The 24,209-nt window shown below is 36.2% G+C and overlaps 1 long non-coding RNA gene and 1 other non-coding gene across 2 annotated transcripts, besides 2 other annotated features; both read left to right on the top strand.

Annotated features, from left to right (window-relative positions):
- Positions 561-1,121: an enhancer, noted in NCBI's record as "H3K27ac-H3K4me1 hESC enhancer chr20:26189772-26190332 (GRCh37/hg19 assembly coordinates)". NCBI's record gives its function as "activates a minimal SCP1, AML or CMV promoter by ChIP-STARR-seq in naive H9 embryonic stem cells {active_cell/tissue: H9 hESC(naive)}" and the evidence as "EXISTENCE:reporter gene assay evidence [ECO:0000049][PMID:30033119]".
- On the top strand, positions 1,024-23,238 carry MIR663AHG (MIR663A host gene). The gene is made up of 5 exons (NR_040095.1): positions 1,024-1,134; positions 10,734-10,808; positions 18,025-18,124; positions 18,357-18,464; positions 22,420-23,238. It is a non-coding gene; the product is annotated as an MIR663A host gene (long non-coding RNA).
- On the top strand, positions 1,979-2,071 carry MIR663A (microRNA 663a). The gene has a single exon (NR_030386.1). It is a non-coding gene; the product is annotated as a microRNA 663a (primary transcript).
- Positions 2,005-2,506: an enhancer, noted in NCBI's record as "H3K4me1 hESC enhancer chr20:26188387-26188888 (GRCh37/hg19 assembly coordinates)". NCBI's record gives its function as "activates a minimal SCP1, AML or CMV promoter by ChIP-STARR-seq in naive H9 embryonic stem cells {active_cell/tissue: H9 hESC(naive)}" and the evidence as "EXISTENCE:reporter gene assay evidence [ECO:0000049][PMID:30033119]".
- Positions 23,239-24,209: the final 971 nt, after the last annotated feature.

Genomic DNA, 24,209 nt, shown 5'->3' with positions numbered 1-24,209 from the left:
ATTGGAAATATAATAATTTTTCTTCATGTGGAATCTTCAATACAAAAAAAAAAAACACGTATCAATGGTTTGCATGTGTCATGCTGATAGTTGGAGGGCAAATGATATTAGAAAAAGTAACACTATATTTCTGAACATAAACCTTGTTTCATCTTAGAATTTGGTGTTGAACCAATTTTGTACCTCATTGCTATAAACCTTATGTATCTAAAGAGTTGTTAATATGTGATTAACTGCCTTGGCCAAACTCAAAATCTTATTCACACATACAATACACACAGATAACTTATTTTTATTTGTTCGATCACTCCTTTAGTCCCTCATTTATTTCACAAACATTCATTGACACTTACGTGGCAGCACTCTTGTAAGAATAGAATATGGTGATGTCATGCTCTCCCTGGCCGTGTCCGAGCCGCGACGGGCGAGGGGCGGACATTCGTGGCGAATGGGACCCTTCTTCTCGTCCCGCCCGCGGGGGCCCCTTGTCTCTCCTCTTCCTCGCCTGCGGGTGGTGCGTTGGGAAGGCATGGGGTGCGGAACCCGGCCTGACCTCGCTGTCCCGCCCCCGCCTTCTGCCTCGCGGGGTGGGTCGGGGGGTCCTCTGACGCGGCAGGCACCCCTCGCTCTCGCCTCCTGTGGTTGTCGACTTGCGGGCGGCCCCCCTCCGCAGCGGTGGGGGTGCTGTCCCGCCGGCCCGTCGTGCTGCCCTCCCGGGGAGTTTGCGCGAGCGTTGGCTCCCCCTGGGCCTTTGCGGTGCTCCTGGAGCGCTCCGGGTTGTCCCTCAGGTTCCCGAGGCCGAGCGGTGGTGTGTCGTTCCCACCCCCAGCGCCCCCTCCTCCGGTCGGCGCCTCGGTGTCCGCGCGTGGGTCCTGAGGGAGCTCGTCGGTGTGGGGTTCGAGGCGGTTGAGTGAGACGAGACGCGCCCCTCCCACGCGGGGAAGGGCGCCCGCCTGGTCCGGCGAGCGCACGTCCGGTGCTCCCCTCTGGCGGGTGCGCACGGGCCCTGTGAGCGATCGCGGTGGGCTTGGGCTGGTGACGCGTGCGCCGGCCGGCCGCCGAGGGGCTACCGTTCTGCCTCCGACCGGTCGTGTGTGGGTTTACTCGGAGGTGCTTTGCCTCTGAAGAAAAGAGGCGGGTGGACGGGGTGGGGGGGGGGGTGGGAGGCGGGGGCTTGTGGAGTTGCGCTCACGCTCGCACCTGCCGGTCCCCGCCCTGACCGCGAACGCTCAAGGTTGCCGCACGCAGGTTTTTCCTGGTACCACAGGCCCCCTCCCTTCCCCAGGCCTCCCTGAGCGCCTCTGCGGGCCCCTCGGGCCCCACGAGGGGCGGCTGGCGGGTGGGGAGTGTGACCCATCCTCGGTGAGAAAGCCTTCTCTAGCGATCCAAGAGGTGTGCCTTGGGGTACGGGATCCCCCGGCCTGCCGCCTCTGTCTCTCTCTCCGTTATGGTAGCGCTGCAGTAGCGACTCGCTTGCAGAGGAACCCTCCTCAGCTTCCCCCTCGACGGGGTGACGGGGGGAGAGCGAGGGTTCCGCCGGCCACCGCGGTGGTGGCCGAGCGCGGCTCGTCGCCTACTGTGGCCGGCGCCTCCCCTTTCCGAGTAAGGGGAGGATCCCGCCGGCAGGGCCCAGCGTCCTAGCGGGTTGGGACGCGGCTGACAGCGAGCGATGGCTGCGCGCAGCGTTCCGTCCGGCGAGTGACCCCCCTCCGCCGCGAGTCAGCTCTCCGCCCGCTCCCTTGCCGAGTCGCGACCGGTGCGGACGACGGCGTTTGCGTGGCACGTGGTCGGGCCGCCTGGCCCTGGGAAAGCGTCCCACGGTGGGGGCGCGCCGGTCTCCCGGAGCGGGACCGGGTCGGAGGATGGACGAGAATCACGAGCGATGTGGCCCTGGCGTTGAGTTTGTGGCTGTGGTCGCTTCGGGGCCCCGGTGGCGGGACCAGGGGCTCGTGAGGCAGGTCTTGGTGGGTGCCGAGGGCCTTCCGGCGTCCCAGGCGGGGCGCCGCGGGACCGCCCTCGTGTCTGTGGCGGTGGGATCCCGCGGCCGTGTTTTCCTGGTGGCCCGGCCATGCCTGAGGTTTCTCCCTCAGCCGCCCCTCTGCGGGCTCCCAGGTGCCCTTGCCCTCGCGGTCCCCGGCCCTTGCCTGTCTGCGCCCCCTTCCCCGCCCGCCGCCCGCCGATCCTCTCTCCTCCCCGAGCGGCTCACCGGCTTTACGTCGGTTGGTGGCCGCGTCTGGGACCGAACCGGGCACCGCCTTGTGGAAAAAAAAGAATAGAATATACCCTGTTAAATCAGACATGATACTTGCTTTTGTGGAGCTTATGCTTTAGTGCAGAAACAGAAAGTCAAGCAAAAACTCAAACTATGTAACTTTAAATTGGATATGTGCTAATGAAGGAAAATGTGGCACTGTAAGAAAAAATAATAGGGAGTTAAAGGATAAATAGGAGTTTGCTGGATGAAATTTATGAAGAGCTGAAGATTTCAAACAAAAGAAACTGATGCAGGAGGGTGCAGCTTTGGAGTCAAGAATGAAGTTCTAGGAGATAGAGAGCAAAGAAATGGTGGGAGAGGAGGTCAAAGTAGGTAGGATTTTATATATTATCAATGGGAAAATATTGAACAATCCTAAGCAGAAAGGCAATGATATATGTTCATCTTCATTACAAATTCTTATATTTTTAGTAGACCTGTTTTCAGGCAAAACTTCATAAGAGAATAGTAACAAAGAGAAAAAAAGCAGTGGTCTCAAATTATCTCTAACTCACCTGATGACTTTAAGTTAAATGGCCTCAACATTTTGTGATGCTTTTCCTTCTTATAAAGTAAGGAGTTTAGATGAGGTGAGGTATCCAATTTCGTTTAGCTTCAATTTCCCGTAATTCGACTGCTGTCAAGTCATGCTTTGCTTTGTTCTGTTTGTGAGCCAGAGTAACTTTAAGGTAGTATATTAACTAGAATAACTATTTCTTTACTTTTAAACTTCAAAATTATGATGACATAAGAAGTGTTTCAAAGAACATTTAGAAAGTAGATAAATGAAAAATTTTTAACATTTTGGAATGCTTCTTTTATTTCTTTTTGAAACCTAGGTTTTTGGTGCTAGTGGTGATATTTATTTTTTGCCAAACTAACCATTCTATGTAATTTTGTAGCATTTTGGGTTGATGACCACCGTAAGTCTAGTATTCCCATATGTGTTAAAATTTATCTTTACAATTAATATATTTTCACTGAATTATTTAATTAAAAATTAAACTACAATTTCTAATACATGTTCAATGAGATATCATTAGGCATTACCTGAAAAGGATTTCTGGAGAAAGAAAGAATTTCTGGTTAAAAAAAGGTTGAACAGGTTTTCCTAGTGCAGTTCTCTCGGTCTCTAGGATGGAGCTACAGCATAAAGTAGCTTCCAAATTTACTTCACAAATTAGCCCTTAGATTTCAAGAATTACTTGTAATTTTTTTTTATAGAGCACAGTTTCTTTGCTCTTCAGTATTACACTTGCTTATGTGAGTTCCTAAAACTAAGTTTAATTTTGGAAATTCTTAATTTTATATTTACATTTTGAGTTGTGTTTAAATAAAAAATTAAGTTTAGTAAAAAGCTAGGTTTTTATTTCCACCTACAAATTCAGTGTCCCATCAATAGAAAAAAAATTCTCAATAATATTTTAAAGTTACTTACTTTAGTATTTGTCATTAAAGAATAAAATTTACCAGGCAGAAATGCCCCCAGAAGCTACCTATGGAGGAAATATAAATATTATTATTACCTACTAATATTAACATACAAACTAGTCAATTATGGTATAGCAGTTAAATATACATAAAAGTTAAATATTTATAAATGATACAGGACTCACATGTTTGTATGCCTGTTGTGCAGTCACAGTCTGATAAATTGATAAACAGAGTTTGCAGTAGAGAAAGAGTTTAATGATTGCAGGGCAGCTGAGTGAGGAGATGCGAGCACCCTCGAATCTGTCTTTCCAGAGAGTACTTGGCTGGGGTGAAGGGATTGTAGAGGACCAGGGGCTGGAAAATTGGGGTCACTGACTGGTTTGGTTAAGGGGGATTAAATCACCAGGATGTAGAAACTTTGCCCTTTAGTGAGTCGGCTTCTCCTGGAGCCCTTCGGAGCAGCTGATGTCAGTAGTTTCACTGGTATGTAGGATCTGAAAGAATACCTCAAAGAGAAAACTTAACATTTTACAATGCTCAAGTTGTTATCTATGAGTAGTTAAGTTTAACTATAATCTTGTGACAGGATATAAATGATTGTGGGGCCATACCTAGTGAACAATTATGAGGAAGCAGGACAGACAGCAAGTTAACTTAACGTTTAAGGCTGGATGTGCTGGAAGCTTATTTTTGTTTCATCTGCTCCCTCCTCTCCCAAATAATTTTATAAAGATTATAGGGGTTGTTTCATTATATATATATATATGTATATATATATATATATATATGTATATATATATATATGTAACTTCTAATATGTTATCAGTTAATAAAAGCTCAAATTTTCTAGACATTTTTGTTGATTAAGCTAATAAAGTGGCTTCTACCAATGGATCTTGAAATGTGGTATGCTAAATGAATTTCTGTTTTCAAAAATAATTGTGCATGATCAATAAATCACTAAAACATTGAGACAGTAGGCAAGTAAACTATATTTTTAAGTTTACTAGTGGTGCAATCTTGTGCAAGTCACGTGACACTTTATGCCTTAATTTCTAAAAGAAAAAAGAGAACTTCCTAAATTAGAGCTGGGTTCAAATATGAATTAGATATATAAATATGAAGATATTGGAAATATTAGAAATATGAATTTGAAGGTAACTGCCATAGTGTTAGTGACTAACATATAGTTAACTATCATTGACAAAATTATTATTATTTTCTTGTTTTTTATTGGGGGGGTTTCTTTTTTTTATTGTACTTTAAGTTTTAGGGTACATGTACACAACGTGCACGTTTGTTACAAATGTATACATGTGCCATGTTGGTGTGCTGCACCCATTAACTCATCATTTAGCATTAGGTATATCTCCTAATGCTATCCCTCCCCCCTCCACCCACCCCACAATAGTCCCCAGTGTGTGATGTTCCCGTTCCTGTGTCCATGTGTTCTCATTGTTCAATTCCCACCTATGAGTGAGAACATGCAGTGCTTGGTTTTTTTGTGCTTGCGATAGCTTGCTGAGAATGATGGTTTCCAGCTTCATCCATGTCCCTACAAAGGACATGAATTCATCATTTTGTATGGCTGCATAGTATTCCATGGTGTATATGTGCCACATTTTCTTAATCCAGTCTATCATTGGTGGACATTTGGGTTGGTTCCAAATCTTTGCTATTGTGAATAGTGCCACAATAAACATATGTGTGCATGTGTCTTTATAGCAGCATGATTTATAATCCTTTGGGTATATACCCAGTAATGGGATGGCTGGGTTAAATGGTATTTCCAGTTCTAGATCCCTGAGGAATCGCCACACTGACTTCCACAATGGTTGAAGTAGTTTACAGTCCCACCAACAGTGTAAAAGTGTTCCTATTTCTCCACATCCTCTCCAGCACCTGTTGTTTCCTGACTTTTTAATGATTGCCATTCTAACTGGTGTGAGATGGTATCTCATTGTGGTTTTGATTTGCATTTCTCTGATGGCCAGTGATGATGAGCATTTTTTCACGTGCTTTTTGGTTGCATAAATGTCTTCTTTTGAGAAGTGTCTGTTCATATCCTTCACCCACTTTTTGATGGGTTTTTTTTTCTTGTAAATTTGTTTGAGTTCATTGTAGATTCTGGATATTAGCCCTTTGTCAGATGAGTAGGTTGCAAAAATTTTCTCCCATTCTGTAGGTTGCCTGTTCACTCTGATGGTAGTTTCTTTTGCTGTGCAGAAGCTCTTTAGTTTAATTAGATCCCATTTGCCAATTTTGGCTTTTGTTGCCATTGCTTTTGGTGTTTTAGACATGAAGTCCTTGCCCATGCCTATGTCCTGAATGGTATTGCCTAGGTTTTCTTCTAGGGTTTTTATGGTTTTAGGTCTAACATGTAAGTCTTTAATCCATCTTGAATTAATTTTTGTATAAGGTGTAAGGAAGGGATCCAGTTTCAGCTTTCTACATATGGCTAGCCAGTTTTCCCAGCACCATTTATTAAATAGGGAATCCTTTCCCCATTTCTTCTTTTTGTCAGCAAATAAACTAGAAAATCTAGAAGAAATGGATAAATTCCTCGACACATACACTCTCCCAAGACTAAACCAGGAAGAAGTTGAATCTCTGAATAGACCAATAACAGGCTCTGAAATTGAGGCAATAATTAATAGCTTACCAACCAAAAAAAGTCCAGGACCAGATGGATTCACAGCCGAATTCTACCAGAGGTACAAGGAGGAGCTGGTACCATTCCTTCTGAAACTATTCCAATCAATAGAAAAAGAGGGAATCCTCCCTAACTCATTTTATGAGGCCAGCATCATCCTGATACCAAAGCGTGGCAGAGACACAACAAAAAAAAAGAGAATTTTAGACCAATATCCTTGATGAACATTGATGCAAAAATCCCCAACAAAATACTGGCAAACCGAATCCAGCAACACATCAAAAACTTATCCTCCATGATCAAGTGGGCTTCATCCCTGGGATGCAAGGCTGGTTCAACATACGAAAATCAATAAACGTAATCCAGTATATAAACAGAACCAATGACAAAAACCACATGATTATCTCAATAGATGCAGAAAAGGCCATTGACAAACTTCAACAATGCTTCATGCTAAAAACTCTCAATAAATTAGGTATTGATGGGACGTATCTCAAAATAATAAGAGCTATCTATGACAAACTCATAGCCAATATCATACTGAATGGACAAAAACTGGAAGCATTCCCTTTGAAAACTGGCACAAGACAAGGATGCCCTCTCTCACCACTCCTATTCAACATAGTGTTGGAAATTCTGGCCAGGGCAATCAGACAGGAAAAGGGAATAAAGGGCATTCAATTAGGAAAAGAGGAAGTCAAATTGTCCCTGTTTGCAGATGACATGATTGTATATCTAGAAAACCCCATCATCTCAGCCCTAAATCTCCTTAAGCTGATAAGGAACTTCAGCAAAGTCTCAGGATACAAAATCAATGTGCAAAAATCACAAGCACTCTTATATACCAATAACAGACAAACAGAGTGCCAAATCATGAGTGAACTCCCATTCACAATTGCTTCAAAGAGAATAAAATACCTAGGAATCCAACTTACAAGGGATGTGAAGAACCTCTTCAAGGAGAACTACAAACCACTGCTCAATGAAATAAAAGAGGATACAAGCAAATTAAAGAACATTCCATGCTCATGGGTAGGAAGAATCAATATGGTGAAAATGGCCATACTGCCCAAGGTAATTTATAGATTCAATGCCATCCCCATCAAGCTACCAATGACTCTCTTCACAGAATTGGAAAAAACTACTTTAAAGTTCATATGGAACCAAAAAAGAGCCCACATTGCCAAGTCAATCCTAAGCCAAATGAACAAAGCTGGAGGCATCATGCTACCTGACTTCAAACTATACTACAAGGCTACAGTAACCAAAACAGCATGGTACTGGTACCACAACAGAGATATAGACCAATGGAACAGAACAGAGCCCTCAAAAATAATGCTGCATATCTACAACTATCTGATATTTGACAAACCTGACAAAAAGAAGGAACGGGGAAAGGATTCTCTTTTCTTTTTTGAAATAATGGAGATATAGTAGAGAAGATTTTGTTAATTTGAGGTGTTTTAACTGTTTATTCAGTAAGTTCTTTGTAAAAATTTACAGGAAGAACTGAAGGGATACAAAAGGTTCATAATAAACACAGCAGATGATTTCTGATCCTTAAATCCAGAAACTGGGCCCTAATCTATTTTGCTCTCTTATTTCTAGCAAACTACCTAGAAAAAGTTGGAGAATGGCACTATTTTTTTGTTGATCTGAGCTTCAGTTTTTCATTAGTAGTAGTAATTCAAGCTAGAACATATTGTATATTCAAAATTACACCAAGTGATTTACTTTAATATAAGTTATTTCATTTAACCTTAGGAATACTTCATGGATATATTTATTTTTACAGATTAAGAGATTGTTATTAGCAGAGGTTGAGTAACTTGCCCAACTCTGATACATTGCTAAGGAGTAATTGACCTCTAATTGAGTCACGTTTCTTCTAACTACTATGCTCCACTGTAAATAAATGAGATTACAGGTTAAAGTTTGATAATTACTTCTAAGTAATAAATAGCACACTCAATTTTAATATCGATTCTGGTAAAATTCTTTATAAAGGGTTTAGCATTCTTTACAATGTTTGGGGTTGGGTCAGGGAGAAGATAATGAAAAGAGAACAGAGCAGATAAGAAACATTTTGCACATCTTGACTTCCAAACTGATCCTCTAAATAGATTTTTATGCTATCTCATCACACTGAAACTTTTTGATGGATATAGAAACAAAAAATATTGTATTAAAAATATTGAGAAAGATTGGGGAGAAAGATAGAAAATTGTTTTCAAGAGAATCAAAGTATATTATTTAAGGTATATTTCTCTGTGAATCTTGAAACTAGGGAAAGAAATATGTCAGCAAAAATACTGGAAGTAATTTATTCTTTCATTGACACAAAAACAATGATTGAATGATTAATATGTAGCAATCACTAATCTAGGATGCTCTTGCTCTGACTTATATTCCCTTCCCAAATATTCCAATGATTTTGTATTAATAAAAGAAGACATTAAAGTAGTATATTGATATTCTTATATATTGATATATACAAGAATATACATTCTAAGTATGTATGTTTTGAAATTTTGTGGTGATCTGATGAGTGACTTTGAGTCTCAAATTTAGAGTTTCTAATAATTCTGGATTAAACAAAATGTGAAGGGAGTTAATCTTGAAAGCAAAAGAAAAATAACTCATCCATACAAGGAAATGACTTTATGATTAACACCTGACTTTTCATCAGAAACAATGGTAGTCAGAACACAATGGGATAGCACATCCAAAGTGCTGAAAGAAAAAATAAGTGTTTTGTTCTGTTTATCTTACCAAAGTGGTAATGTGTGTAGGATTTATATGTAAAGGGAAAAAACTTTAAGAGGAATTAGACATAGTCAATGGAAAGAATATGACCAATAATGTGTTCTAGGTCTGGCTTGGTTAGATATAACATGTTTAACTTTGGATAATTCATGAATCCTTTGCAAATCTTTCTTTGCCTCCGATATATCTCGGCTGGAGTCAACACTAAAAACTTGAACTCCATATATTGTGTATATCTGTTATTTCAAGTTAGTATATTTTATGTTTCCTTCTTGATGGAAGCTTGTCTTATTTTGTTCTCTACAGTCTGTATTTTTTTCTTTTCATAATTCTGTAGCAATCGTGTTCCAAATATAAAAATAATTCTTTTGTGCTGTGTGAAAATATGTGTTCTTTTATTTAAGCTTCCAGACGAATGTGTTATTTCAAGTGGGAGACTATGATTTTTCTCTAAAGATGATGGGTAGGGTTTTGTTGTTGTTGTTGCCGTTTGTTTGTTTGTCTAACTTTACTAGTAGGTAGATTATTTGAATGACTGATCTCATTAACCATCTCTCCTGCTAAGTCTGTCTCCTTTTCCTTCTAAATCTATCTCCTTTCCTTCAAGTCTTTCATCTGAGTGACATTAGAAATTCTCAATACAACTGGTATTGTGCCCAGCTAAATCCATCTGATTTTTACTTTTAAAAATGGCAAGTTGATGTAACATTTCATTATACTATATACAAGAGAAAAATCAGAGCAAAATGTAATTGACAGTTTTCTGAGTTTCTTTAGTCTTAAGTTTTGAAATTGTTTTTATCTATTTTTATTTATTTATTTATTTTTTACAGACAGGGTCTCACTCTGTCACCCAGGGTGGAGTGCAGTGGTGCAATTATGGCTCACTGTAGTCTTGATCTCCTGGGCTCAAGCAGTCCTCCCAACTCAGCTCCCAAGTAGCTAGAACTACAGGTGTGTGCTTTATAATAAAACACATTATTATAAAAACACCCAGCTTTATTTTTTATTAAAGAAAAAAATTTGTAGACATTGGCTTTCATTATGTTGCTCTGGCTGGTCTTGAACTTCCAGCCTCAAGTGATCCTCCCACCTTTGCCTCCCAAAGTGCTGGGATTAAAAGTGTGAACCACCTCATGTAACTTTTTTTTTTTAATTATCATTATAATACTTGATAAAATAAAATAAACAAACTAAAACAAACATCTGAAAATGATGCTAACGTAGTTGGGTGCTGGCTTTAAAAAGTCCATTATGTCTTTTGTCAATTATATTAGTTTTCTAAGGTGGCACTTAAACACATGCACACACACACAGACTGGGTGGCTTAAACAACCGATATTTATTTTCCCACAGTTCTAGAGGCTGTAAATCCAAGGTCAAAGTGCTCCTCTGAGGACCATGATGGAAGGATCTGTTCTAGGCCTCTCTTCTTGGCTTATAGATGGTTGCCTTCTCACAGCTCTATCTTCACACAGTTGTACTTCTGTGCATACATGTAGCTGATTTTTACCCCTTTCTAAATTTTATTTTATATGGACACCATTTTTTTGGATTAGGACCCACCCCGAGGGCCTCATTTTAAATGAATTCTTATTTAAAACATCCCAATATGGTTACTTTCAGAAATACTAGGCTTTAGAATTTCACCATATGAATTTTGGGAGAGAGGAGCACAGTTCAGCCCATAACTAACACACGGTAAGTAACTATTGACCAGGTTACTCATGTTACTCAAAAGAGATAATTCACTTTGTTAATATGAAGCAATTTTTTTCCTCAGTAGGTGTAAGAGTGTGTGTCAAACAGAAGTAGCATTTTAACATATAAGAGACATAGCTGAGCTCTAAATATAGGAGACAGTATGATAATGTTTTACATTTCAAATTCTCTGCCTGCATTAGAATATTTTTGCAGAATGTGTAAAACAATCTAATGAATTGATTGGGATGTGCAGGAACAAGAAATATGGTTGTGATTTTTGCATAAAGCTTTTATATAGTTCCTTTAAAAATATAATTATCTCATTTACCTATTTCCTTAAGGCAATGGGTATATTTTGTTTTATTATTTTTGATCCCGATTTTTCTGACTATGGTTCACAAAAAACCATAAGATAAAGTACCATCCTGTACCTTATCTTCATGCAACAGTTTTTTTTTCTGCTAAATTAATATTTTGTATATTTTTATTTTGTATATATTTGGTATAATTCTGTTAATATTTTATATATTTCATATATTTGTATATGAAATGCGGATGCTTTAGACAACATGAAAATATCTTTGAACATTCATATTTTACCAAGGAAGAAAGATAAGCAAAGCACATGATTAATAGATTTTAGAATTAACTGGTAAGTTACACCAGTTTCAATTTCCCAGAAGTCTAATATATATCCCTGCATTCTTATCGTGAAATATACAGTAACAAGGAAAGAAATTAATATATTAAAGTATCTTAATCTATCCAATTAAATGGTATTTGAAAAAGACTTTAATGCTCTGTCTTTTGACATTGAAATAAAGTGATTTTATCTTGAAATTCCGTAAGATAATGAAGAGTTGGTAATTACATCTTTACATTTTATTGCTCTTTAAATTGCAGAATCTTCATTATTTCTGCGAGAGGTCACAAGCATGTTCATCTTAACTTGACTATTATACAAATAAGGCTTTATTAATGCATCTATAGAAGTAGCCAAATCATTCATTCCATGACTAGGCAATTAAGTAATCCTGTTAAGATAAAGAAGTAATGACTAAAATTGGTTGGGTAAAACTGTAAGACACAATGTCAGCAAGGTGAAATAACTTCTCTTTAGCACTTTACCTAAATAACTTTTTTTTTAAAAGAGACGTATGCAAAAAGAACATGAATGTGTCATGAATTAATTTGTGCATGGTTTCCCTATACAACAGTCACAGTAGCAACCACAATTTTGGTAAATTAAAAGTTGTAAAACTAAATGTTTTTAGATCAACAGTTTTCTCTTTAATGCTTTTTTCAATTTAATGCTGGCCTATTTTTCTGGGCTTTCATACAGACTTTATAATTAGGTGGATATAGTGGTTGTATGATTAATAAAATATAGACTGTGGTGCTGCCGTGTTTACATTTGAATCCTGCCTCAGCCACCCAATATGGCATGAGTGACATCAAGTCAGAACCTGGGTTTTCTCATACAGAAAAATAGTCTTAGAAACATCAATTTCATAAAGTTTTGTGTTGGTTAAATAAGACAATTATGTAAAATTGTCAAAGCACAATAGCTACACATAACAGGCATTCAAGTATTAGTGCCTATATTCCGATCTCTGTTGCCCTCACTTTTCTATTCCCTCAAATGATAACAGAAGCTGTATTTAAAATCACTATTCCACTCTTTAATTTCTGTTGTGGAAAAATAGAGAAATCTCTATTTTCTTATGTAGTAACTTTTATCTGTCTTCTTGAGTCTCTAGAGTTATATAATTTTCATATATACAATTAATTTGACCTCCAGTCTCTACAGATAGTTTATCAACACACTGCTACACATAGACTCAGGTCTTTGATTTCCACAATGTGTGTGTGTGTGCATGTGTATTTATTAATATGTTTTATTTTCTGCCTGTTGAGTTGATGGGAGAAAAGTGAAGAAATCATAAGTAAAATTTTACTCCAAGATAATGTGCTGATTTTTCTTTTAAGGAGTATACCAATATAACTATTTAAACTTGGAATTATTAAGCTATCTTTTTTCTCTTTTTTGTAAGTGTATCAAACTGAAATGACTGTCAGCAGGATGAGGCACATGCCAGTATATGCTGCCAATTTGAGATAGTTCATATCCCAGGACATTTTTTAGGATTGTCTATATGCCAATCTTGAGAAAATTTCAGTTACTCGCAGAGTTTTCCTTTGTGCAGAAGTGAACTTAGTTCAGATATTTTGACTTCGCTACTAAAAGTGTATAAGTCAATTTTCTATAACTGAAGACAACTGACTCACCTTTTAAAATAATTCTAGGTGTCTCTAGGATTACTGTATATTAACACAAAAAGGGTTATAAACACATACTGTAATAACTACAATAATTAAAATAACATAAAATTACAAATTCATGGCACTCAGATTTAGTAGGTATGTATGGCCCTTACACATTTATTTATCCCAATAATTTGTTCTGATGTCAACAGTACCCAAGTAGAAATAATACTGTTAGAAGGCATGGAGTAATCTTGAATTTTTCATTATAATTTCATATATAATTTCATTTTTCATATATAATTTCATTTTTAATGAATAGTTACCATGCATTAAAAACCACCCTCATTTTTAGCCTCTTTAAATAAACACAGTTAACACAATCAAGATGGCAGAGACTTTCAGGAATCACCTTATCAAGTTGCCCATTTCTAAGAGTATTTGGAAGCAGATATTATATTACTAAAAACAGTAATTAGGATGCCATAACTGCCTTGAAGTAATGTTGACTGTAAGTATCTTCAGTGTCCAGAAGTTTTCCTGGCATACAGCAAATATTCAACTAGAGAGTGAAAAATTTTTAAAAAATTTAAAGGCCACAGGATAAGTATAATCTTGAAAAATAACTTCAAATATAAACTTCACGTGATAATTCATTTTTAAAATTTACAATAGTTTATTTTTGTTGCGTTATTTTTGAAAATGGTTTCGATCAAGGTGACACATGCACACATGATCAGAGAGCACACATGATCAGAGAGGCAGTTAATTAGGACGATAGATGCCTGAATCAAGATTTGCTGTTCTGTTTGTGTTTCATATGTTGCAAAAATAATATATTTACACCAAAGTTTTTGATGGTTTGGCTGTCAACACTATGGATATAATTACTGTCCCCTCAGGCTTTGCTGATGAGTCTACATTTATCAGGTTGTCTCCTTCCTCTACATATCTTCCATCATTGCTGCTCTGATAGTGTTGAAGGAATTGTAAATCTCTCCCATTGGATTTTTTCAAGTTTTGAAAGTTTTAATGTTTAAATTGTTAAGTTTTGATAACCTACATTTTAGTTTATTTACTTATTTATTGTACATATTTAAGGCATACATATATGCCATGAAATTATTACTATAATCAAGCCAATTAACATATCCATCACCTTTCATAGTTATATTTTTATGTGATTGGCAAGAGCACCTGAAAATATGCTTTTAGAAAATTTTCAGTATAGAATACATTATTATTAACTATTGGTATCATACTATACGTTAGGTACAACTTACTCATCCTACATGACTGCCAGTTTGTACCCTTTGATCTGCTTTTTTTCATTTCCTCTTAATCCTTATCCCTGATGGCCACCATTCTACTGTTTCTATATACTTGGCTTGTTTTTAGATAGCACATATAAGTGAGATCATGAAGTATTTTTCTTTCCATGTCTGGTTTATTTCACTTAGCATAATGCCATCCAGGTTCATCCATATCATCAAAAATGGCAATTTTAATTTTTCTAAGATTGAATACTATATTCATAATATTTATATTATTACAGAGTATATAAGATTATAATATGATATATAATATGTTATAACTATATATCATAATTTCTTTATCCAATTGTTTTCATAGCTTGGCTATTGGTTATTTATACCGCAATAAACATGGGAATACAGATATAGCTTTCATATACTGATTTCAGTTCCTTTGGGTATATACCCAGCAGGAGGATTGTGGAGTCATACAGTAGCTCCATTTTAAATTTTTGAGGAACCTTCATACCATTTCCCAAAATGGCTGTATCAGTTTACTTTCCCACCAACAGTGAACATGAGTTTCCTTTTTCCACACCCTCATCACACTTATCTCTTTTTTATATAATAACCATCCTAACAGTTGCGAAGTGATATAGTTGTTTTGATTAACATTTTTCTGATTAATGATGTTGAACACCTTTTCATATACTTGTTGCCCTTCGTATGTCTTTTTTAAATAATGTCTATTCAGATACTTTGGCCATTTATCAGTCGGATTGTTTTTTGACTGAGTTGTGTGAGATTTTCATTTCACATATCAACCCCTATCTGATATATGGTTTGTAAATATTCTCTCCCATTCTGCAGGCTGCCTTTTCATTTTGTTGAGTGTTTGCTGTGCAGAAGCTTTTTAGTTTGATGCAGTCTCACTTGTTTGCTTTTGTTGCCTGAGCTTTTGGTGTGATAGCCAATAGCCAAAAAACCATTGTCAAGGCCCATATCAAGGAGTTGTTTTCTCTGTGTTTTCTTCTGGGAGTTTTATAGTTTCAGGTCTTACACGTAGGCCTTTAATCCACCTTGAGTTGTTTTTGTGTACAGTCTAAGGGTCCAGTTTTATTCTTTTATATGTAGATAACCAGACTCTCACTGTTGCTTCTTCACAGGAACCCCTCTTTGCCCCAGTTTTGGCCAAGTATCTTCTACACCACCTTCAGGTCTAAGTGCAACAGAAAATACACCTTTCTCAGGAAAGACATTTATTGTTCACTCATAACTCTATCTTTAATAGACATATCCAATAGAATATACAGTTTGCAAGATTAAAAACAAGGTTTATATTGCTTCATAAGGAGCAAGCACATTTTTGAAGCACAGGGTAATTCTTGACAATAAAACCTGCAACTCATTATGATTTTTAAGTTGTGTGAGACGTGGATACCCAGCATTTTCATGATGAGGCTGTGCTTTCTTACATTTTCAGTGATGAAGAAGACATGCCAACAGAGGGTTAATTCCAGATAAAATGAAATGTTCCAAACAGTACGTTTGGTTATTTGATTCATCTGTGGGGGAAGGAAAGATAATTTTCCAAAGGACATTCCTCCTAAATTCTGTCTTAAAGTTGTTTGTGAGTAGAAGATTGAGTTTATATTACATTACAAGACTATAATGTCTTCATTAAATTCACTGTGCAATCTTTAATCAAATAATTAAATGCATTATTTATTTCCAAGTTTGAAGCACACATTATCTTCAGCTGAAATGCCAATTCTGGAGGAAAATATATCCAATAATATATGAAACTGAAGGCCATTTTTATTATTATTTTATTATTATTATTATGTTATATTTATATTTCCTACTTAGACATGGCCCCTTAACTGATGGCTTTCACCATGAAAAAGAAACCCTACCAAATACTATTGTTATTTTTTAAGTTAAAAAAAATTCAGTTAAACAAATCAAAATAAAATAATGGCAAAGAAAGACCTACAGGTTTAAATCTGTAAATTGAGCTTCTGAACTTGATTCATTTTACCCTGGATGGGTCAGATTTTCATAATAGATTGATACTAGGCCACAGATTGGTGACAAAAAAAAAAAAGACTACAGCATGAACTACTACAAAAGCTTACTTTGTCTTTAAAACTTTTTATGTAATTACACTCCATCTATCTTCTGTGTGAAGGGCCAGGAAACTATATATCACAGGCCAAATTCAGCTTACCAAATGGTTTTTTATACAAAGTTTTATTGGAGTGCAATCATGCCTATTTGCTCACACATTATCTATGACTGCTTTCACTGTACAATGCAGAGTTCAATAGCTGTTATAGAGACACATGGCCTAACATATTCTTCTGCTGACTGTTCAAACTTTCCAGATGTTGCTTTCCCCAGACATTGAATTTTGTCAGATGTTCCCTCCACTAAGGGTGCAGCCTCATCAGGTGTTTTTTCCACCAAGCTTTCAGCCGTGTCAGGTGTTCTTCCTGCCAAGGGTGCAGCCTCGTCAGGTGTTCCTGTAGATGTTCCTTCTGCCAAACACACAATCTGGTTAAATTTTCTTTCTGCTTAAATATCATCCTCCTGATTCTTCACCTGGCAAACTTCTACTTATTCTGTATGCTTTCCTTAAATATTACCAAACTTTTCTTTTCTCTTTTCTCTTTTTCTTTTTTTGATGGAGTCTTGCTTTGTTACCCAGGCTAGAGTGCAGTGGCGCGATCTCAGCTCAATGCAATTCAAGCGATTCTCCTACCTCAAGCAACTCTCCTACCTCAGCCTCCCAAGTAGCTGTGATTACAGGCACGGGCCACATCAACCGGCTGATTTTTCGTATTTAGTAGAGACGAGTTTCACCATGTTAGTCAGGCTAGTCTCAAACTCCTGAGCTCAAGCAATCCATCTGCCTTGGCCTCCCAAACTGCTAGGATTACAGGAGTGAGCCACTGTGCCTGGACACTACCAAACATTTTAAAGCTTTAATTCTTCACCTTGGATATAAAATTTCTGACACATGCTGAATATGGTAACAACATGACATAATAAGTAATAATTATAAGCTCCAAAAGGGGTTCCGGCACAGAGTAAACACTAAATAAATAATAAATAATAAAAAAGATAATAATAACAAGAAAAATGTTTAGTATCTTAATAAAGAAGCAAATAAAAATGACAATGATAATAACAAGGAAGATGCTTAGTACCTTAAAGATACCTGACAGTTATTTGTTAAGTGGACAAGTGGATAAATGAATAACAAACTTTTTAAGGAAATTCTGTTGGAAAAATGCAGAAATTCAATAGGCACAGCTCTTCTGTATTATGAGCACCTTAAAGACCCAAACTGTGTATTCCATCTTTGTCTCCTGCAACTTGCCAAACCTAACTTATAGAGGTCCTTTGTTAAATATATAATAAAGATGTGCTCATACAGTTCATATTGTACAATGTGTCACATTTAGGTATCAGTAGCATTTTCATTGTTGTGAAAAGTTTTTGTAATATTTTTATAATTTTTTTGAGTTTAGAGTTAAGCTATCTGAATATTTATAATGATAATATTTTGGCTATTAGAAACAGAGTATCTTGCTGTAACAAAATTACTATTAACACACTAATTATCCAGTAGATAGAACAACATACCTTGCTCTAATGGAGTAAACATATCTTATTTGGTTTCAACTTAGACGGAATGAAGTTGATAATAGTGAGACCTTGTTGGTACAAGACTATGTAACATAACCTGCGCTTCTCAACAAAGAATTGCTTTTCTGACTTCTGCACTCAGTAGGTATCTTTGAAAGATATTCTCCTATTGGTACTGATGCACCCTGGCTAAGTTTTGTAATTCTTGCTGACATTTGTTTATGGTGCCAGAAAAGTATTATTAAATTCCAAATTCTAAAGATAGTTACTTTTTTAGTGACACAAGTCACTATGTGACACAGTTGATCCTTGAATAAGGGTTTTCACTCTAGGAGCCCACTAATAGATTTTTCTTTTCCTTTGCCACTGCAAGATAGCAAGACAAATCTCTCCTCTGCCTTCTCCTTATCAGACTACTCAACATGAAGGCAATAAGAATGAAGACCTCTATGTATAATAATTGACTTCCACTTAATAAATAGTGAGTATATTTTTTCCTCCTTATAACAGGTTCTTTCCTCCAGCTCACTTTATTGTAAGAACCTTGGTGTCTGTAATCGGCTCGGAACCCTTGCTGCTCTTTCACTGAATATCGCTGTCTGGGTATGTGTCTCATCCGTCATGCAGCCGGGGTCTGCAGGATAGACCCCCGCAGGTTATAATATTCAAATGTTACAGTTTTCTGTTATTAATTCCTACTTTTTGTTATTAGATGTTCAATTCTTTGTGGCTTGTAATTCAGGGCATGTAAACTAATTTTAATTTGTAATCAAATCTATTTATAAATATATTAATTCATTAAATTGGATAACCTCATCATCCCACATTACTGAGCTCATCAATCACACCAAGGTTTATACATTTTATAACAAGTCTCAGTTGTTATGACACTTGAGGAATCATACAATATACAAACTTAAAAATTGTGTTACTTATATACACAAAGGTATTATATAGGATTTTAGGGACCATAATTAAATATTTTTTCAGATAATTTTTTTGAGATTATAAACTACCTACAACTAAATTCTTAACTAATTCTGAATAATAAACTAAAAAAATTAAAGCTATATATACATATATATACACACACCCACATACGTATATATGGAAACACATGCTATTTACACATTGCTTTTTGAATTGCTTTTTTGTGATCAGCGCTTCCATAATCTTATGGTAGCACGATCAAGAGTAGTTTGCTATCTGAAGTCTTACCTGAATTGGTATTTTGAGGATTTTTAGATAATTTTCGTATATGTTTCAAAAGTTGTTGATGAATGCTATGTATAAAAATGTAATAAATAAAATTACTATTTTAACACGGATATAGAAAACATTTACCAAATTTATTAAGTTCTTAGAGTATTTCAGACAATATCAGAGCTAACATCAGAACATTACTTATTTCATAGACTTTAAGTTTGTAAGCTCTATGAACTTATTAAGCTTCTAATTAAATAATAAATAAAGTAAGATGAAATACTCATGAATTGAGGGCAGTATCACTCAGTAAATTAACTAGAGTTAGCTTGGCTTAATGGAAAATGTCCCTAACTCATAAAAAGTCCTAGCGCAGTTACCAACAGGTATTTTTTCTTGAACAAGTTGCTTCTCTTAGGTTCAATGTCTTCTAAAAATGAGGATTTTAGAGACTTATTTCACTAGGTTATTACAAAGATTTAACAAGATAACATTTTTAAAATGCTCAAAGAAATGGTGAAGCAATGAAATAATTTATTCTTGAATCTTATTGCTGAAACTATTTTAAAATTCCCAATAAAACCCAACGTGTTGGCCTGGTGCAGTGGCTCATGCCTGTGATGCAAGCACTTTAGGATGCTGAGACAGGGTGATCGCTTGAGCCCAGAAGTTCAAGACCAGCCTGGGCAACACAGGGAGACCCTGTCTCTACAAAAAATAAATTTATTTTTTCTTAAAAGTGTTTCTTCATAGGTTGTAATGTTGAAATGTTGCAGTTTTCTGTTATTAATTCCTACTTTTGGTTATTAGATGTTCTATTCTTTGTGGCTTGTAATTCAAGACATCTAAGCTATTTTATAATTTGTAATGAAATTTATTTATAAATATATTAATTCATTACATTGCATAACCTGATCATCCTCTATTACTGACCTCATCAATCACACCAAGGGCACAAAACTAACAGATCTCAGCATCTGGCGTGGACTACTACTACTCTTTATCTACCTCCTTAAACCTGAATCAACAAATCTTTGTTAGAATGATGCTTAAGTCACGATGTTCATTTCCAGCTGCTGTGGAAGACAAAACTCTACCTTTATTTTTTGTAAGTTCCACAAACAAGATGCAAGTTGGTATGTTCTCATTTCTGAGAGGCCTACTAACAACATATTGCACACAAGATCCTATGTGTTACCACACCTCTTTTCATAGATCACCTTACATAAATATTTTGTGTATGAAAATCACAAGTGCAATACTGGGTGTCACCCATTTTGCTTTGACTCACACCATTTCCTTGGAGCTAATTAGTCAAATGTCCTTTTGGGGACTGCAAGAAATATGCAACACTTCACAGATTTGTGTGTCATCCTTGTGCAGGATGACACTTGATTTTAATCTTAAGCTTTATGGTCAGTATGTCCCACCCTTACAAAACCAGTACTTTACCTTAGTTCTTCAGTAAATATGAGAACCATTCATAACATGCAACAACAGAGAAGGGAAGCTTTAATATCATTTATGGATTTCTTATTTTTCTATCATTAATTTTTTTATCTGATAGACCGATTTTTCTTTATCCTCTTATTTATTTAAGTTAAACATATTCACATACTTTCAAAGTGGATAGACATATATAATATATATATTAAAATTCATATTGTAACTTTTGTCTATTTACTTGTTAAATAAATTTATGTAATATTAAGTAGGTAACTACAAGCCTGCTTATACAAGTCATATCTTTAAAGTCAGTCATTTTTGTTTATTGTAATTTTATTAGTCAATTAAATAATTAAACATTATACTTTTACAAATATAATTGTAATTATGAAGCTCCTGTGTGTATATATAATGATGCCTTATCTTTGTGTTGTATTTTATTTATAACTATCCTAAATATCTGATTTCTGTAAGCCATGTTTCTGAAATGCATCGCTCAGTTAAGTCACTCTACCAGAACTAGATGATTACTAAATAAATATATTTAGAGAATTGCTTAGAAATTACAAACTTCCCCACCCCACTTTGCTACTTTTGTACCACCTACCATGTTCTCTGCAAGTCACCTGTTAAGATTTAATTTATTACTATAAAGGTATCTATTCATGGTTTTCCATTTCAAACACAATATATGTAGTAATTTTAATTTATTTCTGAGAATGTTCTCATCCATTCTGCTCATGGGTGAAAGTATTATATTAGTATGGTATATAAAGTGAAGTGTTGACAACGGTGGTGGAATTTTTCACAAGGAGGAGGACAATATGGAAAACATAAGAATGGGGAAGAGGAACTAGTCTTACATCCACTTTAAAGATCCTAGGTGTTTTAGGTAAAATGTAATCTTCTTAGCTTGACATCAATAGCCTTTGATAATAATTTCCCATATAACTTTTCAGGCATAACTATTTTTTCAATTTTGTCCCTGCACTCAACATACATGTAATTCCAACTGAAGATAATTATTAAAATCCCCGTGCCTTTTACAGCTTTCTTGATTTTTGGAAAGGAACTTTCCTCAGTCCATTATGTTCTTTTCATCTCCAGCTAGTGCATTTCCATTCATCTTCCAAAATCCAATTCAAATGCCAACTCTGTGACACCTTTTTGTATTCTGCCAGACAAAAATAATTGTGTTTCTTCTGACCTCTCCTTGTGTATTTCATGGAATATGGCAAAGTACTTAATTCCACTGAATTGTAGCTACTGTCTTGCTGTCTTACCAACTAAAACAAGGACATTTTGGGGAATATGAGAATTTAAATTGAATAGTAACCACAAGATAAAAACTCTGGGCTTTGCATGATCTTCCTTTTAACTAATTAGAGGCCAAGTATATTGATGAAAAATCATTATATAGAATTTGATAAGACTTTCTTCTAATATTAATTTTTATTTTATGATTTTCCTTGTTTCATAAAATTTTGACAGAAATATATTTCTTATAATTTGCCTTCTTTGTAAGTCCCCACTTTTGTTCCTAGAGCAACACGCTGTCCTGGATAGCTAACGTGTTTATGAATGCAAGGAAATTTTCAAAAAGGGAGTTTGAAATTTAACTCCACAAACTACTATCTGGATTGGAATGCTACATTAAATGTATTATAATTTTGTATGGACATATAAGGATGGGGAATGAAAAGCATCCAAGGCCATATGTTGATAATCTTTTGATATGTTAAGAAATAATCTAGTGTTATTTTCTATTTCTTCTCAAATGTTTTTAGAGGTTACTTGGTACACTGGTCGACAAAACCTTGAAATGTTGATGTTTAAGGGCTGTTGATTGCTGGCAGCAAAGAAGTCCAACTGTGCTGGTACCCGAGATAGCGTCTCCACATTTTCTTCCAGGATCATCACCTTTGTTCTAAATAGCTCCCACATAGTGTGAACAGAAGTCATATGTTTTAGATTTTCTGCCTTGGCACCCAGGAAACCAGTATGATTGAGTAAACATATTAAACTTCCTCTGCATTTCCAGCCTGAACAGATGTTGAGTACAAGCTGATCCACCTACGTTCAACCTGAGAGAGTCCACATCCACAGACTGTTTCATTTCCCTTTTTCAATTTACATAGAAGCATAGATTCTTGCTGGCATATACAAATGCGCCATTTAAGGCAATCAAAAATGGTTCCACATCTCATCTGATTTCCACAATTGTTGCTGTAACGATGGACTACTGAGGAGAGAGACAATTTCTCTGGCACATCTTCCCACATTTTAGCAACATGTTCATGGAGAGCCAATATTCAGTAATTACAGCCCAATTCCTCACAATTTCACAATTCGCTAACAATATGCATTTTCACAATGTAAAGCTGATTTTCCTTTAACCAAATCAAACATGAAAAGATAGCTGCATGCAATGGGCAATCTAGATCATTAGAAGATTGATGTAAAATTAGAGGACACTGAGACTGGAATAGATTGCAAACTTCAGGGAGCTCAGAAAACTTGTAAACTCTACATTTTGAGGAAATATGTTGTCGATGCTTTTGCAACTCTATGCAGTAACTTAACAAATAAAGCCTTAAAGTAACTTATCTACGAGTTACTTTGTCATTATTTGCAACTATTTCACATCATACAGCTTCTCTAGGAAGTCCTCAGCTTATTCACCAAAATAAAATTTCTAGTTATAATTCCATTCCTCTGTTGATACTATTTCTCTTGCCTAGGAGACAAAGAATCAAAAACAAGTAATCAAAAGTGTAGAATATTGTAGTGGTTATGTTTAATTTTCTAATGTTGTGAATGCTATCTAATCAAATGAATTATATGATTTAACAGTCCCTATGAATAAGTAAAAAGTTACAGAAGTAATATACCAAGTCTGTACACTGTAAGTAATCATATATTCCAAATATTATTTTGTATGGTCATGAAAGGTACTATGTATTGAGCACTTAAATATGCATAAGCATGATGCTAACCTCTTTAGCTATTTCAACAATTAACTGTGTAAATACTGTAACCTACATTCTTTTTGAAGCACAGGTAGTTGTAACATGGGTACTCACATTCCTTATTCTTTATAGTAGGGCAAGGTTAAAGAATGAGGCAGACAGACACACACACACACACACACACACACACACACACAGATATGGAATGTACATGAGAAATATTCAATCTGATAAATTATATAATAAATCTTCACTTAACATATAGTATTATGACAGCAAGGGACTGGCGGATAAAAGGAGCATTTCTATTTTTAAGTAGCACTGAAACACTGAATTTTAAAATGGTACGGGCTTGTTAGGTCAAAAAAGAGAAATCTAAGCTCAAGCAAGGAAATAGCATGTAGAATTTGACAAAGTTATAAAATGTATAATTTTTTTAATTGTATTATTATACTTTAAGTTTTAGGGTACATGTGCACAACGTGCAGGTTTGTTACAAATGTATACATGTGTCATGTTGGTGTGCTGCACCCATTAACTCATCATTCAGCATTAGGTATATCTCCTAATGCTATCCCTACCCCTCCCCCCATACCATGCAGCCATAA

The sequence above is a fragment of the Homo sapiens genome, chromosome 20, assembly GCF_000001405.40.
Source record: "Homo sapiens chromosome 20, GRCh38.p14 Primary Assembly".
Lineage (NCBI taxonomy): Eukaryota > Metazoa > Chordata > Mammalia > Primates > Hominidae > Homo > Homo sapiens.
The sequence above is the reverse complement of the archived record's forward strand: the minus strand, read 5'-3'. Positions and strand labels throughout refer to the sequence as shown.